This window comes from Homo sapiens, chromosome 17 (assembly GCF_000001405.40).
Source record: "Homo sapiens chromosome 17, GRCh38.p14 Primary Assembly".
NCBI lineage: Eukaryota > Metazoa > Chordata > Mammalia > Primates > Hominidae > Homo > Homo sapiens.
In genome coordinates, this window is record NC_000017.11 from 14060954 (window position 1) to 14078061 (window position 17108).

At 40.7% G+C, this 17108-nt stretch overlaps 1 protein-coding gene and 1 long non-coding RNA gene across 2 annotated transcripts in view, besides 1 other annotated feature; one reads left to right on the plus strand and one right to left on the minus strand.

Annotated features, from left to right (window-relative positions):
• The window catches only part of COX10-DT (COX10 divergent transcript), a 40167-nt gene extending 31662 nt beyond the window's left edge, over positions 1–8505 (minus strand). Inside the window, exon 1 of the long non-coding RNA NR_049718.1 lies at positions 8319–8505. This is a non-coding gene — a long non-coding RNA (COX10 divergent transcript). The remainder of the gene's footprint in view (positions 1–8318) is intronic.
• COX10 (cytochrome c oxidase assembly factor heme A:farnesyltransferase COX10) overlaps positions 8551–17108 on the plus strand; it is a 139174-nt gene continuing 130616 nt past the window's right edge. The window contains exons 1-3 of the mRNA NM_001303.4: positions 8551–8695; positions 13370–13503; positions 15782–16103. Coding sequence (NP_001294.2) covers positions 8653–8695; positions 13370–13503; positions 15782–16103 — 499 coding nt within the window. The 5' untranslated portion in view covers positions 8551–8652. The remainder of the gene's footprint in view (positions 8696–13369; positions 13504–15781; positions 16104–17108) is intronic.
• Positions 8640–8709: an enhancer, noted in NCBI's record as "active region_11742". NCBI's record gives its function as "activates an Ori minimal core promoter by ATAC-STARR-seq in GM12878 lymphoblastoid cells {active_cell/tissue: GM12878}" and the evidence as "EXISTENCE:reporter gene assay evidence [ECO:0000049][PMID:35858748]".

A 17108-nucleotide genomic window follows, 5' to 3' on the forward strand; every position in this document is an offset into this window, starting at 1 on the left:
GAGTACCTCATAACTAAGAGAAAATGTATCTGTGAGAATGTTCTGACTGGTTATGATTTCCTCAATCAGTAGTGCCCAATAAGGTTAGTTTCCTGCTATTCTTAGAACATTTCACCGTATTCTTCATGAAGCTCTAAGATGTCAAGAAGGGAATAAGGCAAGAAATGCTTTCCTTGGTGTGGGAAATCAGACATTCTGACCTCATCAGAGGAGTTGGACACACAGCAAATGGCAAGAAACAAGGCAGGAACCTGCACAAAATTTCTTTTATTTTTGCATTATTTAAACCATTGTGGATTTAAGTCATATTAGAAACAGCCACCATATTCGAATCTGTTTTTTGTTAAATGTGATATCCTTTTTTGGATAGCTGACATGATTCTAGTTGTCTGTCCATGTCACCTGTCCTCAGCAAGCTTTGATGTCAGGTTGCTCACTCCTTGCCTCACTCACTGAATGCATCAACCAGGATGAAATGAACAGACAACTAAACAGTAGCTTAAGCATCATAATACACCTGTAGCCATCAGTCTGCAGACAGATGTTCCTGACTTGGTGTAGCGGCTCAACAATTTCCTCAAGAAGCTGGGCTCTATTTTTTTCTGCTTTTCCTTCCTTGGCATGTCTACTTGTCCTCATGCTTGTCACCTCATCATTGCAAGATAGCTGCCTCAGTTCCAGCAATTACATCCACAGTCTTGCCTCCTGAGTATAAAAGAAAAAAGGCAGAAAGAGCACCTCCCTTCGCGTGCCCAGCTCTTTCAATGGTAAACAAAATTATCCACCAAAACCTTACCAGCCAGTCTCTCCTTATATCTCTTTAGCCAGAACTGAGAAACATAGCCATCACTGGCTGTAAGAAACTCCGGAAATGTGACCGAGAATACTCTGATAAACTTAAAGCAATCATGATTCATCTCCTGGCATATTGCTTTCCTTAACAAAATCAAGGTCTGTTTATTTAAAAGGGAGAACACCATGGCAGTGAATAGAATTTGTTATAGTGCATTTCCCTCCTGCTTTTTCCTTTTTCTGAGTCCAGTACTGCACTTTTCAGTTTTGGTATCCCAAAACTCATGCATGGAATCGAGCCCTGGGGAGTAAAGATGGAAAAGGGTGGCTGGCAGGTTTTAGCTGAGGTGTAATATCTGATTGAAGTGACCTTGGACTAGGATCCTAGCCTGATGTTATCAGTCACTGCAGAGGAACTATTAAGAGATCTTAGGAACTGATTTAAGTTACTCAGTCTCAGAGGCGACTGACTGTAAACTCTAATCTGTACACTTAGAGTGGAACATCTACTCAGATAACTCCCATCAGTTATCTGCCCTGGCTCCAAAGCTACCCTTCCATATTGTGCCGAGAGCTGGCAGACTGCAAGCCACATTCCTGCAAACCACAATCTCTGCCAATGAGGCCTTAGTAATGCTACAAGACTGGGCCAAGGAGGACTCGCTCCTCCTATTGCTTCCTGTCCGCCTGCAATTCCTATGAGCACCACTCCAAAGCTTCTAGAATTCCCAGCAGCAGCTGAGCCCCATTTGCAGCTTTCCCAACACATAAAGAACCAGCTCTACCAGCTCCTGCTCCGTGACAAGAGCACCAGGGGTGCAGTGTCCCTCCTTAACAGCCTGAGTTTCCACTCCTCTAAGTTTCTAAGTTGTAATAATTCCAACTTCTTTTTGTTTCCCCAGCCATAGAGGTGGTAGCTGCTTCTTAGTTACCAGCACCCTAACTTTATTTTTGCCCTTTGGATTACCTAGTTAACAACTTTATAGCACATTAACCTTTCTTTAGGTTAAATTCTTTCAAATAATTGGTGTGATTTCTGTCTCCTGACTGGACCCTAGCTAATTCAGTAGTGTTATGTCATGAAGAGATAGTCAAATGAAGAAATCTTAAAATACCCTATGCTTTCCCACACTGGGGTTACTTACTGTAGTTACAGGACCTTCACAAAGCCTCCAATGGAAGACAAGGCCAGAGAGAGGCCACTGTTTATTACCACATTAAGGTTCTGGCCCCATATGCTTATGTGGAAGCCCTAACTTTGGTGAGCAGGGTTAGATCTGGTGGGTCTGACAAGGAGGGGCCTGAGCACCCTCCTTTTCCCTGGGCCTCTTTCAAAGCAGAAGACCCATCTCAAGCAAGAGACATATTCAGACTCGTCTTGTCATCACCTTCCCAATGTGATGGGACTAGGGGAAGAACAATCAAGGATGATGGGTAGGGGCGGGGGTTTATTTTGAGAGAGAAAAACCGAAAGGTCAGGAAAATCAAGAGACTGACTCCAAAGAGAGGATGTCAAGTGAAAACCCAGATGTTCATCCCTTTTCATCATCTCTCCAAAAGCCTGACTCTCAGGAGCATGCTCACTAATATCCTTGTTCTTAACCTATCCATATTAGCATTCCTTTCTGGGGATGAGGGGCACCCTTATCCTGGAGAACTCTAAGTAGAGTCTGGTGAACAAATTTTGAGATGCTAGCATGGTGAACAAGAACAAGGTAAGTTGGTCTTTAGGAATATTTCCATGAAATAAGGAAGTTCCCATTTTCCACATCACAGATCTTAGGTCTGATAAATTGGGATCAATTGTCTAGCTCATGGTACCCTCATTCCTAAATAGCATAGGAGGCACATAAAAATTCTTATTTATTTTTAAATTTTGCTTTCTCTAGATTCATCAAATTGCTTCATTTTGATGAATAAACTTCATCAAATTGCTTTATTACAATAAATTTTTGAATATTATTACCCCTAAATTTTCCTTTTGAAAACACATATTTAAAAAACTATTAACATTTTCTTGTCATTGCTTGCTTATTAAAGCATATGGAGAGTCATTTAATAGAAACAGCTATCGCTTTTGACCTGACTATGAGCTAGGCACAGTAGCTCATTAACTTTACTATTAATCTATATTCACATTAATGGTATATTGTTTGAATTAAGCAGTACCACAGGGGGCAGAAAACCCAAACACCATGTTAACAAGTTAGAAGTTTATTTGTCTCTCATGAAACCAGTCTAGGACTGATACAGCAGTTCCACAAGCAGTAGAGACCCAAGCTCCGCCTATTTTATTGCTCTGCTGTCTTCAACATGTGGCTGGTATCTCATTATTAAGGATTCTCGGAACTTAAACACATTGCCTACGCTTGCATCCTACTGTTGAGAATCAGTTGCAAAGTCACACCCAGCTGCAAGGGAGGCTGGGAAATGCCTTTATTCTGGACAGTTACATCTTCCACTCTACATGAGGAGGGAAGAGCTATTGGTAGATGATGAGCAGTCTGTCCAACACAAGGACCTTTGATCTCCTTGAGTAGCTCTTCCTAATTTAAAAACAGGTTTATTGGTAGATAATCCACATTCTACACAATTTGCCTATTTAAAGTGTACAATTAAATGATTTTTAACATATTCAGAGTTGTGCAACTATCACTAAAATCAATTTTAGAACATTTTCATCCTCCTCCATCCTAAATAAACCCTGTACCCATTAGCAGCCACTTCTCTTTTACCTCTACCCACTTTCCCAGCCATAGGCAACCACTAACCTATTTTCTGTCTCTATGGATTTGACTACTTTGGACATTTCATATAAATGAAACCATCCAATATGTGGTCTTTGGTGACCGGCTTCTTATACTTGGTATGTTTTTGTGGTTCATACATATCATGGCATGTATTGGTACTTCATTTTCATTTTATGGCCAAATATTCCACTGTATGGAGATACAACATTTTATTTATACATTAATCAGTTGATGGACACTTGGGTTGTAGCCACTTTTTGGCAATTATGAATAATACTGCTATGAATATTCACATATAAATTTTTGTGTGGATGTATGCTTTTATTTGTCTTGAGTCTATTCCTGGGAGAGAAACTGCTGGATCATACAGGTCCACGTTTAACTTATTAAGGAACAGCTAAACTGTTTTCTAAAGTGACTACATCATTTTATATCCCCATCAGCAATCTATGAGGGTTCCAGTTTCTCCATATCCTCGTCAACACTTGTTAATATTTGACTCTCTGATTACAGCCATTGAAGTGGATGTGAAATGATATCTCATTATAGGTTTGCTTTGCATTTCCCTAATGACTAATGATGTTAAGGTTTTTTTCCCCTCATGCTTCTTGGCATTTGTAAGTCTGCTTGGGAGAAAGTCTATTCAAATCATTAGCCTACCCTTAGGTTTTGAAATCTATTGTTTTCAAATACACAGCTCTGGGTCAACTGGTTACATCCTGCATACTAGGTTGGGATTTTTTTCTCCTTTTAGCTCCTAGAGAAAGCTGGGTCTTTATCTATTGTGGGAATTCAGCAAGGCTCAGAAAAAGTTAGCATTTACTTCAAAGTCATGTGATATGGTATAAATTGCAGATTTTATTCAGTACATGTAGACTTTCTGAGAAGAAATCCTATTTGAAAGCAAAGGAGCAGACAACCTACAGGACAAGATGGAACTAGAGTATAGGTTAGTTTCCATTTTCTAGGTTCTCAAGCTTTTTAAATATTAATTTTAAGAAACAAGGTACAAAGCTTTACGAACACTATTTAAAAATATATAAGTAGGCTGAGCACAGTGGCTCACGCCTATAATCACAGCACTTTGAAAGGCTGAGGCAGAAGGATAGCTTAAGCCCAGGAGTTCAAGATCAGCCTCGGCAACACAGTGAGACCCCTGTCTCTACAAAAAATTTAAAACTTAGCCAGGCATGCTGGTATGTGCTTATAGTCCCAGTTACTTAGGAGGCTGAAGCAGGAGGATTAACTGAGCCTGGGAGGTTAAGGCTGCAGTGAGCTATGATCACACCACTGCACTCCCACACAGGTGACAGAGTGAGACCCTGTCTCAAAAACAAAAACAAAAAAAGAAAAAACATAAGTAAGTGGTAACGACCATATTAACACACAATTGAATGATATAACTCAACTTTCTGTAATTATGGAATAATATATATAATGCTTTTAGCTAAAAATAATGATTTCAGTTATTTACATCTATTTAATATTTTAGTTAAAAAATAATGCTTTTGATTACTTATATCTCTTTCCACAAGTGATACTAAACATAGCTTGTGAAATATATTTTGCTTGAAATGTGAAATACAAAGTCAAATAAATACCATATCTAATTGTGGAGCCCTATACTATTTCATTAACGAAGATGCTACAGGTAGACTGAGGGACAAAAAAAAAAGACAATATAATGAAATGGAAAAAATGCTGACTTGGATGTCTAGCGTCAATGTTCTATCACAGAGTAAATCACTTAACCTCTCTGGACCTGTATTTACAAATCTAGAAATGAAAAGGTAGAGAGCTATATGGATTTCTGAGGCCTATCTCTAAAAGTCCTATTTCCCGTTTTAATGGTATTTCATAAAATGGGTTGTGTTCAAAATGTTTGGAAAGCTGTGGGTCAAACAGTTATGATACTCTTTCAGTTACTCATCCAAAATCTATTCCCCACTTCTTCCTTGGTTTAACGTTAATTTGATTTGAGACAGCAATATGGCTAGGTCCACAGTGATGAATTGAGACTGGCCTAACGAAATCATTGCAACCCTGTTTTCAGCTTTCCTTGCTTCCCTTGCAGCTACTCATGGCCAAGTCAATGTATATGGCCATGGAACCCTCTTCATTCCAGAAGTATCTCCAAAGGATTACTTTTCTGGAGAGTATGATGGCCTAGGCTAACTTTACTATAAATAGTAGATAGATAAGTGCATTTCCTGGCCAGTAAAGCCAGAATGTGTTATCTCTGAGGCATTTCTTCCATAAAACATTTACTCTAATTTTTTTTTTTTTTGAGACGGAGTCTTGCTTTGTCACCCAGGCTAGAGTGCAGGGGCGCGATCTCAGCTCACTGCAACCTCCGCCTCCCAGGTTCAAGCAATTCTCCTGCCTCAGCCTCCAGAGTAGCTGGGATTACAGGCGCTCACCACCACGGCCAGCTAAGTTTTGTATTTTCAGCAGAGACAGCGTTTCACCGTGTTGGCCAGGATGGTCTCAAACCCCTGATCTCAGGTGATCTGCCCACATTGGCCTCCCCAAGTGCTGGGATTACAGGCATGAGCCACCACGCCTGGCCTCTAATTTCTACAAATAAATAAAAACCTATGCATTCATTTGTGTACTTGGCCTTACCTTGTGCCCATTTTTGGAAAAAAATTTAAAACAAAGGAAGTATCTGTTGGTCAAGAAGGTGCATGTCTATTAAACCCCTTGCCTATCATAAGCCTAGAGAACTTGGGAGTTAGTGAAATATAACATTCATGTTAATCAACCTTTTAGACATGGTTGTGTTGTGAAGTAAAAGCTGGAATCCAGTATTCTCAGTTCTGTATATCATTATCACCAGCGGTGCTTTAAAGAGAAAATTATAGGTCTCTCTACATCTATCATACACCTCCTCAGATTCAATGGGTCTAGAGGTGGCTTAGACATCTATAATTTTTTAAAGTCCTACATTTGATTCTGATAGGCTGCCAAGGTGAAAAACACTAAGTTTTATAAATCACAGAAGCTATGACTCTTCAAGATGCTTAGGTGAGTAATGCCTTATGGCATGGTGAAAATAACACCCTCACAGGTTTCAGGGACTCAGGTCTTGGTTCTGGCACTCAACAGCTAGGTAACTTTGATCAGATTACTTAAAACTCTCTGGGCCTTAATGTGCCAGACTTAGAGAGGATAACTTTTGCTCTAGGTTTAAACAACAAGTGTTTATAAAAGCACATGGAAAATTATAAAGAGTTCAAAAACTTTTAACGTAGTACTTAATGCTATTTTCCTCTTTATGGAGTGTCCTTTCCCTTTCTTTTATGCTGTAAAAATCTTTTTTTTTTTTTTTTTTTTTTACTTTCAGATCTAGGGTACATGGGCACAACGTGCAGGTTTGTTACATATGTATACATGTGCCATGTTGGTGTGCTGTACCCATTAACTCGTCATTTACATTAGGTATATCTCCTAATGCTATCCCTCCCCCCTCCCCCCATCCCACGACAGGCCCCAGTGTGTGTGATGTTCCCCTTCCTGTGTCCAAGTGTTCTCATTGTGTATGCTGTAAAAATCTTACTGTTCCTTCCAGAGCACCAAGTTTAGATCTCTGAAGCTTTCCTTAAACCAACTGCACAGAAATGTTACCTCATCAGGGTTTCTGCAGCACTTTGTATACTACCCCTATCACACTGATAGTGACAATCGACAACCTCTTGTCCCCTCATTGGTCTAGTGTTAAGCTCCTACAGAATCGGGTGGGGGGGGTGTCTTAATCTCTTCAGCGTCCCCTGTGCCTAGCAATGTTAGTTGAGGTGAACCAAAACGGCTATCCTCTCATCATTGAAAACACAGAAAAAAATGGCCTTTTTAGAACCCAATTACCTATTTTTTCTCTTCTTTTTCAAAAGCGGAATCTTTTCTTCAATCTACTTTTTACTTGTGGAACCCCAATCTGAAAAGAAGATCGAGGGGTTGGGGGATGCTGAGATCTACCCTGGTAATCACAACACTTATGATAACACAGGTAATAATCTATTAGTGCCTGTACCTAGTAGGTGTCTGGCTACCCATGAAACACATTTATCTAATTCTCTCAACCTCTTATAAAAGATGTACCATTACTACTCCATTGTATTGCTAGATAACTGAGGTTCAGAGGACTTAGGTAATTTGCTCCAACAAGGTCAAAAGGCCAGAACTAGAATACGGATTTCACTCCAGACCACCAAATCTGAACCTCTACATGCAATCTGGAGATATCTGGATGATTCAGTTCCTTTAGTGTGGCTCAGAAACAAGTAACCCGGAGTTCCTCTGGGCTCCCATTTGATAGAGACTACGGTAAAGTGTAATTGATTAGACGTGGAGGTGGAAGCATCCCCACGAGAACCATTTCCTCATGATGCTCCTGTCACCGGGAAGTGTTCTAATTTTAACTTTATTTTTATTTTAAAATTTATTTTTAGAGACAGGGTCTCACTGTGTCGCCCAGACTGCAGTGCAGTGGCGCAATCACCGCAACCTCGACCTCCCAGGCTCAAGCGATCCTCCCGCCTCAGCCTCCTGAGTAGCTGAGACCACAGGCACGCGCCACCACACCTGGCTAATTTTACATTTTTTGTAGAGGCGGGGTCTCGCTTTGTTGCCCAGGCTGGTCTCGAGTTCCCAGGATCAAGCGATCCTCCCGCCTCGGTCTCCCTAAGCACTGGGATTGCAGGCGTGAGCCACAGCGCCCGGCCGCTGTAACTTTAAATTGCCCGGGAGGACTCTGCAGCCCAACCCTGCCCACCTCACCCGGTCACCGGAGGATGCCTGTCAACTTCTGGGAGCTGCAAGCGCGGGCCGGCCAGTCGTCCGCGCGCGGCTTTTTCTTCAGGACAGCGGAGGCACACCGTGCTTTGCGGTTCCCGGAAGTCCTTCAGGCCTCAGACCTGTCAGCCCGCCACACTCCAGCCAGTCCCTTCCGATCACCTCCAGACACCACGCTCTCCTTTCGGAGCCCGCCCGCCGGAAGTGGCGGCCCGGAACTACTCCCACAGGGGGGCGGGGAAGGAAGATGGCGGCGCCCAGCGTCCCGTGAGGAGAGAGGACACAGGGATCCCGGGGAGCGGCCCCAGACTCGTAAATTATGGCCGCATCTCCGCACACTCTCTCCTCACGCCTCCTGACAGGTACTGTACCCGCCTTGGGCACGACCTTGGGGGAAATTCTTCTCTTATTACCACGTGCGAGGCCGTGGTTCCGGCTGGCTGCAACCTTGGGGAGCCCTTGGCGAGGTTGGCCGGCCACCGGTGTGGTGGGGGAAATGACCTCTGGAGTAGCTTGGAGTGAAGAGGTCACGGAGCTAGGGTCCAGTCTTGCACTGTGGCTTTAGTGGTCCACACAGCCTCCTCCATCCGGCTTCTGCGGAAGAGCGGTGTCTTCCTGCTTCTTTAGGTTTTCAGATAGTGGAAGCTGGAGGAGAGGGCAGAGCAGAACCTTGGGGTTCCACAGTCCTCCTTATCAGAGCCTCGGCTTCTAGCCACTGGCTTGCAATGACAAGGAAGGTGCTTTGCTTCCACTCAGAAGCCTTGTTCCAATATAAAGGGTCATGATGACAACGTTGATGATAATGACAGTTGCAGACAGCGGAGTGTAGTCCCCATCAGACTTTTGTCTCTGTACCGCCAGAGTGGTCTTTAATATCCTTTCACTCGAAGAAACTAGTGACAAATGTATATTGGAGCTGGAATGTTCTTCCTTGACTCTTGGTAATGGCTCATCTCAAATGTCACCTTTTCAGAGAGGCCTTTATAGAGACCACCCTATATAAACTAGGGCCCCCTACTTCTTTCTTTTCACATCATTCCATTTATTTCTTTCATTATGGTTAGCACAGTCTATACTTGTTTATTTATATACTCGTTTATTATTTGTTTTTCCCAACTAGAATATAAACCTTGTGATGGCAGGGACAGTGTCCATCTCTGGTTTACCTCTGTGTTTCCAGTGCCCAGAACAGTACTTAGTGTACATTGTTTGCTCCCAATAGTTATTTGTGGATGGATGCAATTTGTCCCCATGGAGATCTTAAAGAGGACGTTAGATGATTAACTAATGGTTGTGTGAGGAATGTGATGCCGGTGGTGCATATTAGAGGCCAGATAAGAGAAGCCAGGGACTGCCTTTTGATCACATCCCAGAAACTTTTTTCACTTGTCACCTACCACACACAAGCTCTCTGCACCATCTGGTGATGTTGACACTGTGACTCCATGAAATTGCGTTCTTCGTTCTTTTTCATAATGTTATTTTATGGCTGTCTTCTGGTCTGTGTGATTCCAGGGCAATTCATTTGACTTTTCTGGAATTGAGTTTACTCATCTATAAAATGACGTAATTGAAGTAGGTGATCTCAAAGGTCCTGTTTGGTTTGTAAAGTGGAGAGGTAGAATAGATTGGCTAGGGTCTGGTAATTGTTGAAGCTTGGGGATAAGTAATGGGGGCTCATGGTACTCTTCTGCTTTTACACATGGCTGTGATTTTCCATAATGAAAAGTTGTTGTTTGTTGTTTTTTAAAGTCCTGTGATTCTTTTTTGAATCACTTCTTTGTTACATTCTACCATACCTGACTGTGAATGTTCTTTGATCCTGATCCTGGGCACTCATTCTCAGAGAACTCATCCTTTTATGTTGCTTCAAATATCTTCTCTGTATGGAGGTTTTTCCAGCATGCATCCTTCAGATTAGCTGTTTTTCTGCCTTTCCATTCTATATTGTCAGCTATAGGACAATTCTGCTTGACTACTGTGAATTGCCCAGTTCCAGTAGGTGGGCTGCATGTGGCCCATATGGTTTGTTGCTGCATCAGTCTTTGCAGTGGTGGTATGGAAGGAATTAATAGACAGCTTACTCCCTGAAGCTGTGAACATAATTGCCAAAAACTCTGCTAGTAAGTGGTCTGTATAACTCCCTGTGATCCATTTGGAAGATCTACTAAGAGAGCTTGATGGGGAAGCAGCATGGTGGGACAAGGTGGCAGAGAAGGTAAACTGGGACAGTGTTAGTGATCGAGTAGTATCATGCCTGATTTTGCTTCTAAAAGTTCTAAGTATTTTACAGCCATTTAAAAACTGTCATCACTGGCCGGGCGCAGTAGCTTACACCTGTAATCCCAGAACTTTGGGAGGCCAAGGCAGGTGGACCACTTGAGGTCAGGAGTTCAACACCAGCCTGGTCAACATGGTGAAATGCCTTCTCTACTAAAAATACCAAAAAAAAAAAAAAAAAAAATTAGCCAAGCGCAATGGTGTGCACCTGAAATCCCAGTTACTTGGGAGGCTGAGGCAGGTGAATCGCTTGAATCCAGGAGGCAGAGGTTGTAGTGAGCCAAGATCGTGCCACTGCACTCCAGCCTGGGTGACAGAGTGAGACTCCATCTCAAAAAATAAAAAAAAAATTAAAAATGTCAGCATTTTTTAGCTGTTTGTCTCCTTACCTAATTTTAAACGTCCTAAAATCAGGAGCCAGTGTTGATGGTGAATAATAGATATGGTCTTATGCTTCCAGAATTTTAATGTATCTATTATAATCTTTGTGTATCTCTAAACTTACATTTGTTTACACAAGGCTGAAATGTCTTTCAGTTTCTAGGCACTGATTCATAAAAATGTGACATGTTTCAACGAAATGAAATGTCAGTTTCATAGCTGTTTTTTCTTCTTACTACCATTCTGTAAAATCTCAGTTTGACCCACGTAATCTTTTTTTTGTTGTTGTTGAGATGGAGTTTTACTCTTGTTGTCCAGGCTGGAGTGCAATGGCACAATCTTGGCTCACTGCAACCTCCACCTCCCAGGTTCAAGCAATTCTCCTGCCTCAGCCTCCTGAGTAGCTGGGATTACAGACGCCCACCACCACGGCCGGCTAAGTTTTGTATTTTTAGTAGAGACGGGGTTTCACTGTGTTGGCCAGGATGGTCTCGAACTCCTGACCTCAGGTGATCCCCCAACCTTGGCCTCCCAAGTAGCTGGAATTACAGGCATGCACCACCATGCCTGTCTAGTTTTTTGTATTTAGTAGAGATGGGGTTTCACCATGTTGGTCAGGCTGGTCTCGAACTCCTAACCTCAGGTAATCCACCCACTTAATCATGAGAGTTATTTTCCAAGGTGGTTCCAAGACAAACACATTTTCATGTTTATGGAAAACAAGCATGTCATAATTAACTCAGGTTTGAGACCATAATTTCAGTGAAGAAGTGATTTATCTCCAGTCTAAGAAAATTGTGATGTATTTCTTGGGGTTGTGATAGTTCTCCTTCCCATAGTCCAGGTGTGCTGTGTGGGCTATCTAGTCATCAAACATCATTTCCTTATTATATAAAAGTGCTCTGCTAGCTGTTGTACAAAGGTGGTGAGTAAAGGAGAATTCTTGCCATCAAGGAACTAAAAAATTAGATGATGGGAACAATTTGCATGAAGAAGTGTCATGCAACATGGCATAAAGTGATAGAGTAGTTGACAAAGACAGAAAATTTGACAGAGTGGTGTGCAAATAAGGAAACGATAGAAACAGATGAACAAATTGTGAAACGTGTGGTGTTTTCAGTGGAGGGTCATGGGCGATGTTGCTTTGGTGGGTTGTGTGAGTAATATGTATTTAGTAATATGTAACAGGAAGAAAACTGTTGCCTCTGGGAACGTGGATTGGAGAGGAAAGGAAGTATTGAAGGCAGGAGGACTGGCTTGAATGCTGCTATCGTTACCATAGTCCAAATGTAAGATGATGAATGTAAGATGATCAGTAAAAATGGGAAGAAGTGGACAGATCTGACCTATATTTCAGAGTAGATTGGACTTGATGATTGTTAATTGATAACAGGAGAGTTCAGGATGTTCCTGAAGTCTTCAGATGTTCCTGAAGTCTTAAGTAATGGTTTTATGTACAATAGGGAACAGAGTAGAGATTGGTTGAGAATAAAACACTCTTAAAGACATTTTGCAATCCATCCATATAGAGATACCAAGAGAGGAGATGGAAATAGACCTGATGACTCTAGAAATGGTTTGAAGATCAGAAATTATCCTATAATTACATTTGCTCAGGGACAATATTTAATGTTCAGAAAGAGGGAACATGGATACCTTAAGGTGGCATACATAGCAAGAATAGACACCATCTGCAACTGAGAAATAGAATGCAGAGAACCAGGAACACTTAGTGTCATGGAAGCCTTCGGGAGAATCTGTAGTGTTCTATGGCTTGTCGGAGGCTTGAGTAGGAGGAGGACCAAGGCAGAGAAGCATTGGATTTGTTGATACTTGAGAGAAGTTTCAGTAGAATGACTAAAAGCCAAATTTAGATACAATAAAAATAGTTTATTCCTAACTAGACTGATAGAGTCATACTCTATTGAGAACTGTTTCTTCTTCCCTTTTGTTGTCTTACCCTACTTAGTTAAAATATTAACCTGAAATCTATATATTTCAATTTATTGTCATTTATTAAGAAAAATTGTGCTTTTTATTTTCTACTTTTGAAAAATTGACTGAACGGGTTGTTTTATATTTTCTTAAGAAGATATGTAGCGTGGTCATTTCAGCATTAAATGTAGTAAAGCATAGTGATCCTGAAATGAAAATTTTCCCTGGCCCTTCTGAAGACCTACACGGACTTAAACAATGAGTAGGGCTGGTAAATTGCATTTATTCACAAATCTGGATTAGATTATTTCAAAGCTCTGACCCATCACACAGTGTAGCGCTTACCTTAGTGGCTGGCTTTGCTTCTGGGGAGGTGTAGTCATCATTTGATAAGAAGTACGAATCATTTAACCTTTCTTCCACTTCTCTCTCTATTATAGGTTGCGTAGGAGGCTCTGTCTGGTATCTTGAAAGAAGAACTATACAGGACTCCCCTCACAAGTTCTTACATCTTCTCAGGAATGTCAATAAGCAGTGGATTACATTTCAGCACTTTAGCTTCCTCAAACGCATGGTATGTTTAGAAGACCATTCTTACTCTGTTACTTTCTGCCTTTTTCTCTGTTGAGAGAATTTCAGAAATTCCTATTTAATTAAAGTTTTAAGAAATACTGTTTGAAAAGAACTTTTATTTAGTGTCCTTAAATTTATCCAAATGTCTTGTTTTGATTATTCTTAACCGAAACCAGAATAATTCTGGTGTTTGAGGTTAAAAGTATGATCCTGAACTTATTGATTAAGTTTAGAGAAAGACTGAAAACTTGTGGCATATTTCGACCTGGCCAAAATTGGGAAAAGCTGAACTGTTGTGATACATCTTTTAAAATTCTTTGGAGTTCTGTGACTATATCAGTAATAGAGAAATAATTGCTTTAACAGTGTGACCCTCTCATTTTCTTAAATCAGCAGTACATTTAAAAGTCTTTTTTAACAGTTGCACTTCTGAGTAAATTCAAACAATTCGACAGTTTTTATAATTTTCTAGCATTTTATAATAGACATTGATAACATAAGTCAATCCAGGTTGACTCCATGAATTTGTGGGCAATATGGAACTTACTATTAATTGCCAGGAAGGCCATTTGCATTTTCTCAGATGGAAAAGGGTCATAGAATGGCAAAATGATAGCTGAAAACTCATAGTGCCAGCCTGAAAGAACGGCAGACTTATAATTTAAAGTCCTATTTTACATTTCTCTCATCTTTAACTTAAAACTTTAAATTAAAATCTTAATAAAACTCGATATGTTGATAAGAGATTTAAATTTCTAGAAATGTTCAGGCTTTTTAAGTTGGGGGTCAAGGATAATGGTGGATATTTAGAGGAGAAATTCAAATATGTGTAATGCCCTTTTTTATGTAAATGGAACTCTTCATTCATGAGTTTATAATTCTTTATTAAGACTAATGTATGTAATTTCAAATCTTTGTGATGTGATGGAAAAGGCACTTAACTAGTTATCAGCATAGGTGGCTCCACTCCCATGCCTGCCTATAGCTGGTTGTTGGCTGTTGATATATCAGTTTATTTCTGAGGCTTAGTTTCCTTATCTGTAAGTTAAAGAGAGAGAAAGAGAGGAGATACTAATAATGATCTATCTTCTTTGACAACTGTTTAGAAGATTAAATGAGATATATATTATATAAAACTGTAAAGTACTTCACAAATATTAGCAGTAGTTATTAATTTTGCTAGTAAGTGGTAGAGACTGACTCTACAGCCCACATTCTGTCTTCATCCTGCCCTGCTATAAAATCATTCAGCCGGCCAGGCGCTGTGGCTCACACCTGTAATCCCAGCACTTTGGGAGGCCGAGGCGGGCGGATCATGAGGTCAGGAGATCGAGACCATCCTGGCTAACACGGTGAAACCCTGTCTCTACTAAAAAGTAAAAAAAAATTAGCCAGGCTTGGTGGCGGGTGCCTGTAGTCCCAACTACTTGGGAGGCTGAGGCAGGAGAATGGCGTGAACCTGGGAGGCAGAGCTTGCAGTGAGCCGAGATCCTGCCACTGGACTCCATCCTGGGCAACAGAGCGAGGCTCCATCTCAAAAAAAAAAAAAAAAAAAAATCATTCAGCCCTGGATTATGCCTTACCACTGAGCCCCTCCCTATGCTGTTTGCCTGAGAACATGGAAAGTCAACAGGTTGACTTGGGCTCTTTTTTGTCTTTTTTTTTTTTTTTTTTTTGTGAGACAGGGTCTCACTGTGTCGTTCAGGCTGGAGTACAACGGTGCAATCACAGCTCAATCTCCTAGGCTCAAACAATCCTGCCTTAGCCTCCCGAGTAGCTGGGACTGTGGGCGTATGCCACCATGACCCACTAATTTTTTGTTTGTTTTTGTAGAGACATTCCCTATGTTGCCCAGGCTGGTCTCATACTCCTAGGCTCGAGGATCCTGGGATTACAGTCATGAGCCACTGTGCCTGGCTGGGCCCTTGATTATTGAAAACTTTTTTATTGTATTTGGAATGTTAAGCCTCCAGGGAAAATTCTGGAGGAGATGAATAACAAGTAAATTTATTTTTCTTTCAAGGAACATATATTTCTAGGCTTTTCTAAACTACAGAAATTGAAAACCATTACTGAGGCCTAAATTTTATTCTCCATATCTCTTAGTATAGTGATTTCCATATAGCACTCTATAAATACATGCCGAATTAACAGATATTAAAGCTGTGGGAAAAGCTTTCAAATAATGTAAAAGCTGGTCTGATTGAAGATGTTGCTAAATAACCATTTGAGAGCATTTGGGGCCTTGGTTTTATAGTAATGTGTGCTTTTTTGTTTAGTATGTCACACAGCTGAACAGAAGCCACAACCAGCAAGTAAGACCCAAGCCAGAACCAGTAGCATCTCCTTTCCTTGAAAAAACATCTTCAGGTCAAGCCAAAGCAGAAATATATGAGATGAGACCTCTCTCACCGCCCAGCCTATCTTTGTCCAGAAAGCCAAATGAAAAGGAATTGATAGAACTAGAGCCAGACTCAGTAATTGAAGACTCAATAGATGTAGGGAAAGAGACAAAAGAGGAAAAGCGGTGGAAAGAGATGAAGCTGCAAGTGTATGATTTGCCAGGAATTTTGGCTCGACTATCCAAAATCAAACTCACAGGTACTTTGTTTTTCTGATATACTTACTTATTTGAAACTCTATCTTTAGTGAAACAAAAAGCTAATTTTATTTACCACCTGAAAAGAATAATTTGGAACTGCAGGTCCTGTCTTAGTATTTTTCCTCTCTTCAATTTAACTGGGATTTGAAATTAAATTTTCTGAATTCTATTTACACAGAATTGTAAATAGTATTGCATTGTAAGTATTGTATTAAAAATAGTCACCCTTTCCTTTGCAATTAAAGTTGAATGTTTATCCTGCTTATTTCCTTGTCTTTAGTGTTTTTACACCTGCTGTAAAAATGCATAAGATAATAGGTTTTGTCAACTTGAGTTCTGGAATGGGAAGAATTGCACTACTGGGCTTGATATGAATCCACAGTGGCCACTGAGTCTCCCAGTTCACTTCTGTGTTTTGCTTCTTGTAGAGCCTCTGGGGTTGTCACAGGTCTGTGGGGATGTAGGGTGCATTTTTCCTGAAAGGAGATTTGGAACCAGATTTTGTTTTTTAACCTAATTCTAGCATCCTGTGCCAAATTGTATTGCCATAATTAAGTGATTTGGTTGTCACAGTCACCCTGTAAGTCAGACAGAGCATTATTATTATCCCATCATATAGCCAAGCTTTGACTTAGCTTATTCTGGGCTAACCCTGTTTAGAAGGTATGTTCTGGGTCATGCTGCAACTTGAGGGAGACCTGGTTTATTCTTCTTAAATGAGAATAAAGAGACTGAATATAATGTATGAATAGTAAGAGTAAGCCAGGCCTCTTTGAGGACAGAAAGTGGTAAATAATGTTAGAGTCAGATGAAAAGATGAGACAGGGAGGCTTTTGAGAGCAGAGAAGGATCAGGGAAAGAGTGATTTTTTTTTTTTTTTTTTTTTAAAGAGACTTGAGCCTGAAATTCAAGGCAAAAGGAGGTAACTAGACAACTTCTCTCCTTAGTGACCAGCTTTACTTAAAGAAAGTTGTTTTTGAAGAAATGATGAATAGACACAGGGG